General features: G+C 45.0%; 1 protein-coding gene and 1 long non-coding RNA gene across 4 annotated transcripts in view, besides 1 other annotated feature; one reads left to right on the top strand and one right to left on the bottom strand.

Moving 5' to 3' along the window:
* COL6A2 (collagen type VI alpha 2 chain) overlaps window positions 1–13,399 on the bottom strand; it is a 34,737-nt gene that overhangs the window by 19,833 nt on the left and 1,505 nt on the right. For all 3 annotated transcript variants that reach the window (NM_001849.4, NM_058175.3, NM_058174.3), the window contains exons 2-4: window positions 1,425–1,566; window positions 439–1,037; window positions 192–212 (exon numbers count right to left, since the gene is read on the bottom strand). In NM_001849.4, the coding sequence (NP_001840.3) occupies window positions 192–212; window positions 439–1,037; window positions 1,425–1,539 (735 nt within the window). In that variant the 5' untranslated portion in view covers window positions 1,540–1,566. The remainder of the gene's footprint in view (window positions 1–191; window positions 213–438; window positions 1,038–1,424; window positions 1,567–13,399) is intronic.
* LOC124905043 (uncharacterized) lies at window positions 985–4,101 on the top strand. The gene is made up of 2 exons (XR_007067910.1): window positions 985–2,545; window positions 2,920–4,101. It is a non-coding gene; the product is annotated as an uncharacterized LOC124905043 (long non-coding RNA).
* Window positions 5,046–5,805: an enhancer, noted in NCBI's record as "OCT4-NANOG hESC enhancer chr21:47527125-47527884 (GRCh37/hg19 assembly coordinates)". NCBI's record gives its function as "activates a minimal SCP1, AML or CMV promoter by ChIP-STARR-seq in naive H9 embryonic stem cells {active_cell/tissue: H9 hESC(naive)}" and the evidence as "EXISTENCE:reporter gene assay evidence [ECO:0000049][PMID:30033119]".

Raw genomic sequence — 13,399 nt, 5'->3', positions numbered from 1 at the left:
ATCTAAACAGCCTAGCTTTGGCTGGGAGCCCTTTCTCCAGACTCCAAGGCCTCAGGTCCAACATGGAGCAGGTGACTCCCTCTCCTCTCATCTGTTCCAGCCTGGAGGCGCCAGGAGTCGGCAGCCTGGCGCGGTCATCTCTGCTGGGTCAGCTGCCGGCCAGCACTGGCAGGAAGGGAAGCGCCACTCACCTCTCCGTAGGCTTCGTGTTTCTGCAGAAAAGACAGACATGCTGGTTAGCCGTGTGCCTCGAGACCTGGGGCGGCTGCACCTCGAGTCTGGGTGGGGATGGAGGGACACCTGAGTGGCCCAGGCCCTGCCCGGAGCTTCCTCCTTCGGCCTCCGCACTCACAGAGGGGTAAAGTGAGGCCCGGAGTGGGTGGACGGCCCACCGTGGCCACCCCTGGCGCGTGGACGGTGCTCCCGCCCGCGGCTCACCATGACCTTGATGATGCGGTTGATGGTGTCCTGGTCGATCTCGGTGGAGTCGGGCAGCATGGTGGCGTAGTCGTTGCGGTAGAGCTCGTGCGGCGTGCTGGCGATGTCCCGCAGGCCCTGCTCCTTCAGGTTCTGGTTGGGGGCCACGGCGAAGAGCCGGATGCCCTCCTCGCGGGCCCGCTCGGCCTGCAGCTTGATGCCCCCGCAGGGGCTGCCGGTGACGTGGCCGTCGGTGATGACCACGGCGAAGTGGACGGTGCCCTTGCTGCGGTCCTGCCGGATCTGCTCCGTCATGTTGGCCAGCGCGCAGTCGGTGAAGGTGCCGCGGCGGAAGGAGCTGATGCCCTGCAGGTTCTTGATGAAGGAGGCCCGGTCGCTGCCCGGTGGGCTGAACACCTCCACCTGGTCAGAGAAGTGCAGGCCGCCGTAGCGCCAGCTCAGCGCCACCTGGTCCAGGTAGAACTCGTTCTGCAGCTGGCTGATGAACTGCGGCACGAACTGCTTCATGTGGAAGAGCAGGATGTCCGTGGGGGACTGCATGGTGACGCTCTCCGAGGTGTCCAGCACGAAGTACACGTGGATGGGGCAGTCGGTCTTCTCTGTGGGGCACAGGACCTGTCACGAGCCAGCCTCAGGAGGGACTGCTGTTGGAGCCCCGTTTCCTGGCCCCGTGCCTGTTTGTGGGTTTGACCTCACTGCCCCCGAATGCCAGAGCCCCCGGCCCCCAACCCCTGGCACCTGGGTACTGGTCCCAACTGCCCCCCAAATGCCCAGAGCCCCCGGCCCCCGACCCCTGGCACCTGGGTACTGGTCCCAACTGCCCCCCAAATGCCCAGAGCCCCCGGCCCCCGACCCCTGGCACCTGGGTACTGGTCCCAACTGCCCCCCAAATGCCCAGAGCCCCCGGCCCCCGACCCCTGGCACCTGGGTACTGGTCCCAACTGCCCCCCAAATGCCCAGAGCCCCCGGCCCCCGACCCCTGGCACCTGGGCAGTTGTTGTTTCTCTCGGTAGTGTCCGGCGAGATGACCTCCTGCTGCTGGGCCTGGATGGCCCCCAGGATTCCCCAGAGCAGGAGCACGGAGCAGGTGCCCTGGAGCATCTTGGCAGCACCTGTGGCCCTGAAGTCCTGCAACAGGGGTGGGGGTCGCTCAGACACCCCCAGTGCCTCTCCCCTGGCACCCTCCCCCATGGCAGGCGCACGCACAGCAGGTCAGCGGGATTGGGGGCACTGCCCTCAGTCTTCAAGGAAGCGGGGTCTGCGCCCAGCACACACCGTCACCAGCATCTGGACTGGGGGGCTTGCGCCCTCTTGCCCCACCCTGGGTGGGGTCACAGATGTTTAGTGGGTGCCTCTGGGCTCAGTTTTGGGTGGGATTTGGATGGTTGAGGCCCTTCCATGTCCTCCAGGGCTGGGTGGAGTGGGTAGCTGGGCGCGTCGGCATGGAAGGGAATGGAGCACCACTGTCTGGCGCCCCCCACTGCCTGGGGCTGCCCTGGAAACAGTGCAGAGGGGAGGGCGGGAGAGAGATCCCAGCTTCCCCAGACCGGCTCCCCTGCAGAGCTAGGCACTCTCTCTCCAGCCTGGCTCCATTCCCTTTAAACAGGACTTTGATAAGGAGGGAGGGAGGACTCTGTCAAGTGTAGGGACACAGCCGTCATTAGCCTGGCTTTCCTTTCTGTTGGGTGCCAGGACCCTGGGGCAAACAGATCCAGCCCTTGAACGTCCATCCTCCCTGATGCCCTGTGGCTTGGCCTAAGCTCCAGCTCCAGGAGGCCATCAGGACGGGCCTCACTGTGCTGCTGGCTCCGCAGAGTGGGGCTGGCAGCAGCCGGGCAGCTGGGCAGAAAGGGCACCGGGCCTGGTTCAGAGCGTGCAGTTCCAGGGGTAATGCAGGGATTGGAGTGCCGCCCTCTCCTCGGTGCAGATGGGAGGAGTGTCCAAGCACCGGGACTAGGGGAGGCGCTGCCAGGAGAGGGCCCTGAAGGGTTGCTGTGATTTTGCGGCGTCTGGAGTGGATGAGGTGACCCAGGCCAGACCTGCTCAGCCTGGGGCCCAGGGAGGAATGAAGTCCGTTCCCAAAGGTGCCAGCTCAGGCAGTTTGTGGGTGAGTTTCACAGCTTCAAGGACAAGCACTTCATGCTATTTAACTTGTTTTAGAACATAAAAAGATAAACTTTTTCCCAATTCATTTTTAAATGTTGCATAACCTGTGACCAAAGCTTGATAAAAAAAAAAGTCCCTAAAAGTAACTCTACAGATAAATATCACTATAAATATTACTGATGGCAGCGGCAGCCCATCTGGTGTGGCCGCTGCCATCACACTGGCTGCTCAGGGAGGGCCCATGGAAGAGGCAGACAGGCCCCCAACCCCGCAGACTGCCTCCCTGGGGGCCGCTGCCATGGGGCCGGGCCGGGTGGTGTGCTGGGTGAAGGGGAGCTCACGGCGGTGTTGCCCCTGTCTGGGATGCTGGCCCAGGTCTGGAGACCCTGCCCCAGGCTGCGAGAGGACATGGCCAGGTACCATGCTCCACGGAGCCAGCAGGAGCCGGGGATAAGTGGGATCCCTGCCCCTTGCAGTTTGGCGAGGTGAGAGTTCCCCAGGTACAACTGCCCAAGTCGTGGCTGTGGATCTGGGCCTTCTGCTCCATGGAGGAGGCAGGAGCCAGCCCCCACTCCTGGTGCAGTTTCAGCTGCCCCAACTGGGGCTGCTGACCCAGGCATCGCTGCACTCTTGGGGAGCCAGGGAAGGCCCCTCTTTCCCTTGTAGGCCTGGAGGTGCCTGTTCCCGCTGCCCAGCTTCTTCCCGCTCCCACCACCCACTCCAATCTCAGAGCAGAGTTGGGGCTGAGCCTGGGCACTGTCACAGCCTGGCCGGGTGGGTGCATGCTTGTGGCAGTGCTGACATGCCAGCCCCCTGCTGACTTGGCCCCCTCCAAACTGTGGGCACTGAGAAGTGCAGGAGGGGAGGCTTGGGGGGGTGCTGAGGGTGGCTGGGCACCGGTGCCCCTTGGTACCAGCAGCCTGGGCACCATGGATGGCTGCAGGAGGCAGATAGGCTCCTGGGCAGAAGAGGATGGGTCCCCAGTGAAGCCCCACCTTCAGGCTGGGGCAGGCCTGAAGCCTGGGGGCCGGGTTGCCCGTCCTACGGACCAGAGGGGAACTCAAGGTGCTTTCTTCTGGGCCTGCACATGGCTGCACATGGACCAATCAGCATGCACTTCCCCTCTCTGAGGCCTTTAAAAGCCCCAGGCTCAGTCAGAGCAGGGCAGAGCATGGCACGACCAGCTGCAGAGAGGAGGTGCTCTCTCTGCTGAGAGCTTCAGGACCTGAAGGGATGTCAGGACGACCAGCTGCAGAGAGGAGCTACCCTCTCCAGGGCTTTCTCTCTGCTGAGAGCTGAACACTAGTTGAGATGCCCTGTTTGCAGAGAGGAGACACGCTCTCGAGGGCCTCCTCTCTGCTAAGAGCTGCAGAGACAATGGGATGACCTGCCTGCAGAGAGGAGCCACCCACTCCAGGGCCTTCTCTCTGCTGAGAGCTGAACATTTGACAAGACAACCCGCCGACAAGACAACCCGCCTACAGAGAGGGGCTGCCCCCTGCGGGTCTCCTGTGAGCTCCCCTAACACTCAATAAAGCTTCTCTGTCTTGCACACCCTCCACTTGTCTGTGTACCTCATTCTTCCTGGACACAGGACAAGAACTTGGGCAAAGGCGCCACTGGCCATAGAGGTTTCAGGCCAGAAAAGTGACACCCTAAAAATCCCATAACATTATCACAAAAATTCTAGCCAATATTAAAAACTAAAATCCAATAGCATATTAAGGACCACTATACCAGAACTATAATATGAAGTTAAAGTACAGTGTTGCCACAAACACTAGGGAATACATTAATGTAAGTCACATTAACATAAAATGGGAAAAAATATGCAATTGCTTCAATAGATCCCTGAAACATCAATTTCTAACTAAGAAACAACAACAGCCAGACAAGGTAAAACCTAGTAAGAAATTTAGGAGTAGAATTAACTCTATAAAGGATATACATTTCAAATCAAGAGCTCACATCATATTTTACACAAAAAGCTAAAATAGTGGTTCTTATCTTTGTGGTCATGGACCCTTTTAAGAGTCTACACAATTTCACCTTACACAAATGCATAGATGCTCATATACAGAAATCATGTCCAGGAATTCAGGGATTCCATTCGTAGATCTAACCCTGGGTTAAAAAATCCTGCATTAGAAGAATGCTTACTACAGTACAAAAAAAATGGGGTGGGGGCAAACAGTGCAGATCTTACGCTACCATTCAGTGTTGTGTTGGAAGCCAATGCAATAAGACAGTAAAAATAAAAGTATAACTGTTGGAAAAGAAGAGACAAAACTGTCCTTATTAAAGATAGGATTGTCTACCCAGAAAATCATCTGAACAAAGTTTTTTTAAAAAAGAGAAAAAAAAATATATATATATATAGACAGAGAGAAAGAGAGAAAGAAAGAGAAAGGAGGGGAGATTAGGGAGAGAAAATTTAGTGAGCCACTTAGAAAAATATATCATTGATGAAAAGAGTCAAACTCTGTAAAATATTTTAAGAGATTTATTCTGAGCCAAATATGAGTGGCCATGACCCATGACACAGCCCTTAGGAGGTCCTGAGAACATGTACCCAAGGTGGCTGGGGTGCAGCTCGGTTTTATTCATTTTAGGGAGGCATGAGACATCAATCAAATACATTTAAGAAATACATTGGTTTAATCCAGAAAGGCAGGAAAATTCAAAGCGGGGAGAGATGGCTTCCAGGCTACAGGTAAATTTAAACATTTTCTGGTTGACAATTGGTTGAGTTTGTCTAAAGACCTGGGATCATAGAAAGGAAATGCTCAGGTTAAGATAAAAGACTGTGGAGACCAAGGTTCTTCTGAAGTCTCATAGTGGCTGCCCTTAGAGACAATCAATGACAAGTGTTTCCTACTGAGACCTTTAAAAGCTGCTAGACTCTCGGTTAATCTCTTCAGAATTGGGAGGGCCTGGAAGAAAAAGAGCTAGCTATGTTAACAGAGATTCCTTACAGATGCAAATTTTCCCCAGTAAAGGACAGCTTTGCAGGGCCATTTCAAAATGTGGCAAAGAAACATGTTTTGGGGTAAAATATTTTTATTTTCTTCTTGGTCGTGTAGTGTCATGCCAGAGTCAGATGGAAAGTAAGTCACAGCATATAGGGTTAGATAAAACCATCTGATGAGAATTTATGGTTTGTAGGGCATGACTCCCCAGACCCCTTAGATAAGAATATAGGCAAGATAAAAAAATCAGAGCTTAGTCCTCAACATACAAAAAGTTATTGATTTTCTTCTATCAGTTAGAAGAAACATTTTCTAACAACCAGTTAGAAAATGTTGCAGAAAAATGCTATTTACACTAGTAAGAAAAACAACATAAACCCAAGGAATCAACTGAATAAAAATGTGCAGGACTTATGAAAAAAACTCAAAAAAATTTTTGAGAAATATATTGGAAAGACAAACCTTGTTTTTGGATAAGAAATCATCCCACTATCTTAAACTGATTTAAAAATATCAGTTATTCCTAACTGAATCTATAATAGAATGCAATTTTAATTAAAGTTTCCAAGAAAATTTTTTGCATTTTTGTAGATAGGAGTTTGCAAAATGAATCCAAGTTTTACTTGGTAGAAAAAGCAAGAAGAGTTGAGCAAAATAAAAAATAGAGTGATGAGAAAGCTTGTGCTATCAAATGAAACGATAAAATTACAGTTTTGGTTTTGGTGCTGGAACAGGCCAACACTCCACACAACCATGGGCATAACAACACACGAGAACTTAGGCTATGACATGGTGGCCTTTCAGAGTGGTGGAAGCAGGCTGGGATGAGGGCTCACCCTGTGACTAGAAATAAAGGTACTACCTCACATGGTGCTCCCAAATAAACTCCAGGAAAAGGAAGTATCTGAGTGCAAAACAGGAACCAAAAAGTCTTTGAAGAAAACAGAATGTATAAAATGTCAATGAAAAATCTATAATAATTGTGTACCAGATACTGTCCTATATCCCTTCATTCAACATTCACAATTGGACTTATGGCCTTGGACATAGGTACTATTACCATCCCCACTCCAACAGATGAGGAAACCAAGGCCCAGTGAGGTAACTTGCCCAGGGCACTCAGCTAATAGCTGAGGTCTGAAGCCTGGCAGTGTGGGCTCAAGTCTGCCCTCTTGACACTGAGCTCCCACATATGACCATCATTACAACAAAAGCAATATGAGCAGACTGGAAGCAGACTGAGAGCCAGCAACAATCTTCCCAGTGTAAGATATAAATATTTTGATGGACTGTTATTAGGTGCATAAATATTTATAATTATTATATCTTGCTGTATTGAGCCTTTTATTAATATATGATGTCCTTCTTTCCCTCTTGTAACCTTTTTTGATTTAAAGCCTATCTTGTCTGGTATTAGTATAGCCACTCTTGCTCTCTTTTGGTTACTATTTGTGTGGCATGTCATTGCCCATCCTTTCACTGTCAATCTATTTATGTTTCTGGATCTAAAGTGCATCTCTTGTAGAGAGCATATAGTTGGATTTGGCTTTCTAAATCCATTCTGCCAATCTCTGTCTTTTAACAGAGAGAGTTTGGAGAGTTTAATCCATTTACATCTAAAGTAATTACTGATAAAGAGGGACTTCTTTCATTTTGCATTTTTTTTCTGTATACCTTATGGATTTTTTTGTCCTTAATTTCCAGTATCACTGTCTTGTGTTTAATTAATTTTTTTGATGGTGAAACATTTAAATCCCTTCCTCATTCCCTTTTGTATTTATTCTTTAGTTATTTTCTTTGTTGTTACCATGGGGATTGCATTTTAACATCCTAAAATTATAACAGTCTACACTGAATTTATACCAGTTTAGCTTCAATGGCATAAACAAAACTCTGCTCCCTGAATGGCTCTGTCCCCAACCCTTTTAGTTATTGATGTCACAAAATTACACCTTTATATATTATGTGTCCAAAAGCATAATGTTATTTTTAAATCAGTCTCTTAAATTATGTAGAAAACAAAAAGCAGCATTACACACCATTGTTACAGCAATATTAGCTTTTATAATTGTCTATATATTTACCTTTACTGAGATATTTATTTATTTATTTATTTTGAGATAAGGTCTTGCTCTGTTGCCCAGGCTGGAGTGCAGTGGTGTGGTGACAGCTCACTGCAGCTTCAACCTCCCAGGCCCAAATGATTCTCCCACCTCAGCCTCCCCAGTAGTTGGGACCACAGGTGTGCACCACCATGCTTGGTCGATTTTTAAAAATATTTTTATTTTATAGAGATAGGGTCTCCCTATATTGCTCAGGCTGGTCTTGAACTCCTGGGCTCAAGTTATCCTCCTGCCTCGGCCTCCCAAAGTGATGGGGTTACAAGCATGAGCCACTATGCCTGGCTGAGATCTTTACTTCTTCACTTGAATTACTGTCTATCACCCTTTATTTCAACCCGCAGGACTCCCTTTGGCGTTTCCTATAGGGCAGGTCTAGTGGTAAGGAACATTCTCAGCTTTTGTTGATCTAAGAATGTGTTAATTTCTCCCTTACTTTTAAAGGACAGTTTTGCTGGATGTGGGCTTCTTGGTAGACAGTTTTTATTCTTTTAGCACTTTGGATATATTGGCCCACTGCCTTGTGGCCTTCAAAGTTTCTGATCAGAAATCTGCTAATAGTTTTATTGAGGATTCCTTACATGTGATGAATCATTCTTTCTTGCTGTTTTCAAAATCTTTGTCTTTGGGTTTTGACAATTTGATTAGAATGTTTCAGTGTGGGTCTCTTTGAGTTCATCCTGCTTGGAGCTTTTTGGGCTTCTTGGATGGTTATATTCATGTCATTCATCATATTTTAGAAGTTTTCAGCCATTATTTCTTCAAATAGTCTCTCTGCTCCCTTTGCTCTCTCTTCTTCTGGGGCTCCTACAATGTTTATGTTGGTTTGCTTGATGGTATCCCACAGACCCCTTAGGCTCTGATCACCTTTATTCAATCTTTTTATTTCTGCTCCTCAGACTCAATAATTTCCATTTTTGTATCTTCAAGTTCCCTGATTCTTTATTCTGCCTGCTGAAATCTGCCTTTGCATTTCTCTAGTGAATTTTAAATTTCAGTTATTGTACTTTTCAGCTCCAGAATTTCCCTTTGGTTTCTTTTTAAAATTTCTAGCTTTTTATTGATATTTTCATTTGTTCCTACATTTTCTTTCACTTTCTCCACATTTTCCCTTAGTTATTTGAGTATCTTTAAGATAGTTCTTTCAAAGCCTTTGTCTAGTAGATCTACCACCAAGTCTTTTTCAGTGACAGTTTCTGTTGTTTTTTTTTCCTTTGAAATAGGAAAGTTTCTTTGTATGCCTTGTGAAATCAAAATCTCTTTCTTCCCCAGAGTTTGCTGGTTTTTCTTGTTTTTATAATTTTGATTGTTGCTGTCTCTGTGCTAAGGATCAGCATAAAGTATAAACTTAAGGTCTTCTTAGGTCTTTTCTAAGCCCGTGACTTCCCCTGAGCATGTGCAATGACTTTTTTATTTTCTCCACATATATGGTTGCTTTTGAATGTGCTAGTCTTCAATGTCTACGTCTCAAAAGAGGAAAAAGAGAAAAATGAAGGGAGAAAAGGGTGCCAGCCCTTTAAATCTCCTGGAAGTCACTTCAACCAGACGGAGAAGGGCTTGCAATGACGGGGTTAGTTGCAACAACAAAGTCTGTGTCAATAGATTTTGAAAGATCTACATCATACAAGATATCTTTTCAGACCACAAAGGAGTAAAGTTAAAAATCAGCAACAAGGACATTTAAAAAATCACGAAATTAAACAACACCCTGTTAAATAACCAAGGATCAGAGAAGAAATCACAAGGGAAATTATAAAATACTTAGAGATGAGTGAAAATGAAAACACAAATTTAAAAACTTGTTCGACAGTGAAAGCAGTGCTAAGGGGGAAACTGATGGCTATACATGCTTATATTAAAAAAGACAGGTCTCAAATAGGAGCTTAACCTTACAATGTAAGGAACTAGAAAAAGAACAAGCTAGCAGAAAGAAGGAAAAAATAAAGATCAGAGCAAAGATAAACAAAATGGAGAACAGACAGATAATAGAGAAAATCAATGACAACAAAAGTTGGTTCTTTGAAAAGATAACAGAATTGACCAGCCTTAAGCTAGATTCTAGACTAAGAAAAAAAGAAGAAACTCAAATTACTAAAATTATAAGTGAAAGTGGCAACATTGCTACTAATTCTACAGAAATAAAAAAGATTATAAGAGTGTACTATAAGCAACTATATGTCAACAATTTGAATAACACAGATGGAATGGAAAAATTTCCAGACAGACAAAACCTATCAAGACAAAATCAAATCATGAAGAAATAGAAAATCTGAATAGACATAACTAGTAAGGAGATTGAATCAATACTCAAAAATCTCCTGACAAACAACCTCTGGACCTGATGGCTGCACTGGTGAATTCTACCAAACACATAAAGAACTAACACCAAACCCTCCCAAAATTTTCAAAAAACTTGAAGAGAAGGGAACACTATTTAACTCATTCTTATGAGGCCAGCATTACTCTGATACCAATACCAGACAAAGATATTGCAAGAAAAGAAAACTACAATCCAGTCTTCCTTATGAACATTGATGCAAAAATCCTAAACAAAATACTATTAATAGTAAACTAAATTTGGTATAATTTGATGCAATTAAATGGAATTTAATGAATTGACCAAGTAGGATTTATTTCTGGAGTGCAAGGATAGTTCAACATACAAAAAAAAAAAAATCAATCAATGTAATACACATTAACAGAATGAAGGAGGAAAAAAAACTCACACATGATCATTGCAGTTGATGCAGAGAAACCATATGACAAAATTCAATACCCTTTCATGATAAAAACACTCAACAAATTAGGAATAGAAGGAAACAACCTTAACATAATAAAAGCCATATTATACGAAAAAGCCACAGTGAACATCATACTCAGTGGTGAAAGACTGAAAGCTTTTCCTCTAAGGTCAGAAATAAAGGAAGGATGCCTGCTTTCACTACTTCTATTTAACACTGTACTGGAAGTTCTGGCCAGAGCAATTGGGCAAGAAAAAGAAATTAAAGGCATTCAAATTGGAAAGAAATAAGTAAATTATCTCTGATCACTGATGATATGATCTTGTATGTAGAAAACCCTAAAAATTCCACAAAAACTGTTACAACTAATAAACAAATTCAGCAAAATAGCAGAATACATAGTAAACACATAAAAATCACTTGTATTTCTATTCACTAACAATGAACAATCCAAAGGAAATTAAGAAAACAATTCTATTTACTATAGTATCAAAAATAATAAAATACTTAAAAATTGACTTAGGAGGTGAAAGACCTGTACAATGAGAACTACAAAACATTTCTGAAAGAAATTGAAGAGGACATTTAAAAAAAGACATTCATGTTCATAGATTGGAAGACTTACTATATTAAGATGTCAATACCACCCAAATTGATCTAGAGGTTTAATGTAATCCCTATAAAAATCCCAGTGATTGTTTTTTTTTTCAGAAATAGTGAATAAATCCTAAAATTTAGATGGAATCTCAAGGGACCTCGAATAGCCAAAAAAAAAAAAAAAAAAAAAAAAAAAATCGTGAAAGATAAGAACAAAGCTGGGGGACTCACATGTCCTAATTTCAAAACTTACTACAAAGCTGCAGTCATCAACAGTGTGGCACTGGCATAAAGACAGACATACAGACCAACAGAATAAAACAGAGAGTCCAGAAAGAAACCCTTGCATATATGACTTTCAATCAAGCCGTCAAGACCATTCGATAAAGACAGTCTTTTCAACAAACGGTGCAGAGACAACTAGATATCCACATGCAAAAGAATGAAGTTAGACCCTTACCTAATACCATATACAAAAATTAACTCAAAATGGATCTTTACGTTTTAAGACCTAAAACTTTAAAACCCTTAGAAGAAAACATAAGGTAACACCTTCGTGACATGGGACTGAGCAATGATTTCTTGGGTATGACAATAAGAAAAAATAGATAAATCAGATTACACCAAAATTTAAAAACATTTTTTGCATCTATCTAGTGAAAGGACATCATTAACAGAGTAAAAAGAACCCAGAGAATGAGAGAAAATATCTGTAAACTGTGTATCTAATAAGGGATTAATATCCAGAATATACAGAGAACTCCTAAAATTCAACAACAAAAAACAATCAACTTGATTCAAAAATAGGTCAAGGACTTAAACAGATATTTCTCCCAAGAGATATATAAATGGCCAACAAGCACATGAAAAGATGCTCAACGTCACTAATCATGAGGGAAATGCAAGTCAAAACCACAGTGAGATACCACCTCACACCCATTAGGATGGTTAACATTTAAAAAAAACCAAGCGAACCCGGAAAATGACACCTGTTGGTGCAGATGTGGAGAAACTGGACCCTTGTGCACTGTTGGCAGGAAAGCAAAATGGTGCAGCCACCGTGGGAAACAGTGAGGCAATTAATTCTCAAAAAAATGAAAAAATCAAATGATCCACATTTCCACTTCTGGGAACATACTCAAAAGAAGTGAAAGTGGGATCTCCAAGAGGTATCTGTGTGGTGTGTTCATGGCCACATCATTCACAGTAGCTCAAACGTGGAAGCAACACAAGTGTCCAGCAACAGACGAATGGGTAAACAAAATGCAGGGCATGCATGCAGTGGAATACTGCTCAGCCTTACAAAGGAAGGGAATGCTGACATACGTTACAGTGTGGATCAATCTGGAGGACATTAAGCCACGTGAAATAAGCCAGTCACAAAAGGAGACATTTCATACGATTTCACTCATATGAGTCACCTAAATGGCCAAATTCCTGGAAACATAAAGTAGGATGGTGGCTGCCAGGGGAGGGAAGGGGTGATGCGAGTTGGTGCTCCATGGGCTTCAGTTTGACAAGAGGAAAAGAGTTCCGGAGATGGACCTTGGTGATGGCTACACAACACTATGAATGTACTTACTGTCGCTGAACTAGCTGCACACTTAAAAATGGTTAAGACAGTACATTTTATATTGTATACCACAATAAAAAATTCGGGAAAATAAAGCTTTTTCAAATCAATAAAAAAAGAAAAAACCCCCCAAACACCCCAAACAAACAAACAAACAAACACATCCATGGCCTGGGCAACATAGTGAGACCCCGTCTCTTAAAAGAAAATTAGCTGGGCACAGTGGTGCATGCCTGTAGTCCCCGCTACTCGGAGGCTGAGGTGGAGGCTCGCTTGAGCCAGGGATGTGCAGATTGCAGTGAGCAGTGATAGCACCACCACACTCCAGCCTGGGTGACAGAGCAAGACCCTGTCTCAAAAAACAAACAAACAAACAAAAAACCAAAAAAACCCAAAAAGCGAACATCCATTAGGAACATGGGGACATCACAACCAGGCAATGCACATCACTACACACGGTCAGTGATCAAACAGCCCAAATAGCCTTGTACTGCACAAAAACCAAAGACATGCAGAACAAACCCCCCAACAAGGCATCATTCCTTATCTATGAAATGAGAAAAAAAAAAAAAAAAAAAAAAAGACAGTGCTGCTATCCATTGTGGAGACAGGTTCCCCGCCACTTCTGGGATGGGCATCTGACGTTTCTGACCTCTGGACCCAGATGCCGCCCTTCTAAGAGCAGGCGCCCTGTGAGCTGGGATTCCCACCACCCCTGCCCATTACAGCCTCCACTGCAGGCCAGGAAGGGCCGCTGGGCGGGGCTGGGTGTTTGGATCCTGGGCGGACCTGGGCAGCCCCGTCCCAGCCAGTGCCCCGCGGGCTGGGTAGGGCCCCTTCCATGAGCAGCACCAG

The sequence above is a fragment of the Homo sapiens genome, chromosome 21 (genome assembly GCF_000001405.40).
Source record: "Homo sapiens chromosome 21, GRCh38.p14 Primary Assembly".
NCBI lineage: Eukaryota > Metazoa > Chordata > Mammalia > Primates > Hominidae > Homo > Homo sapiens.
The sequence above is the reverse complement of the archived record's forward strand: the minus strand, read 5'-3'. Positions and strand labels throughout refer to the sequence as shown.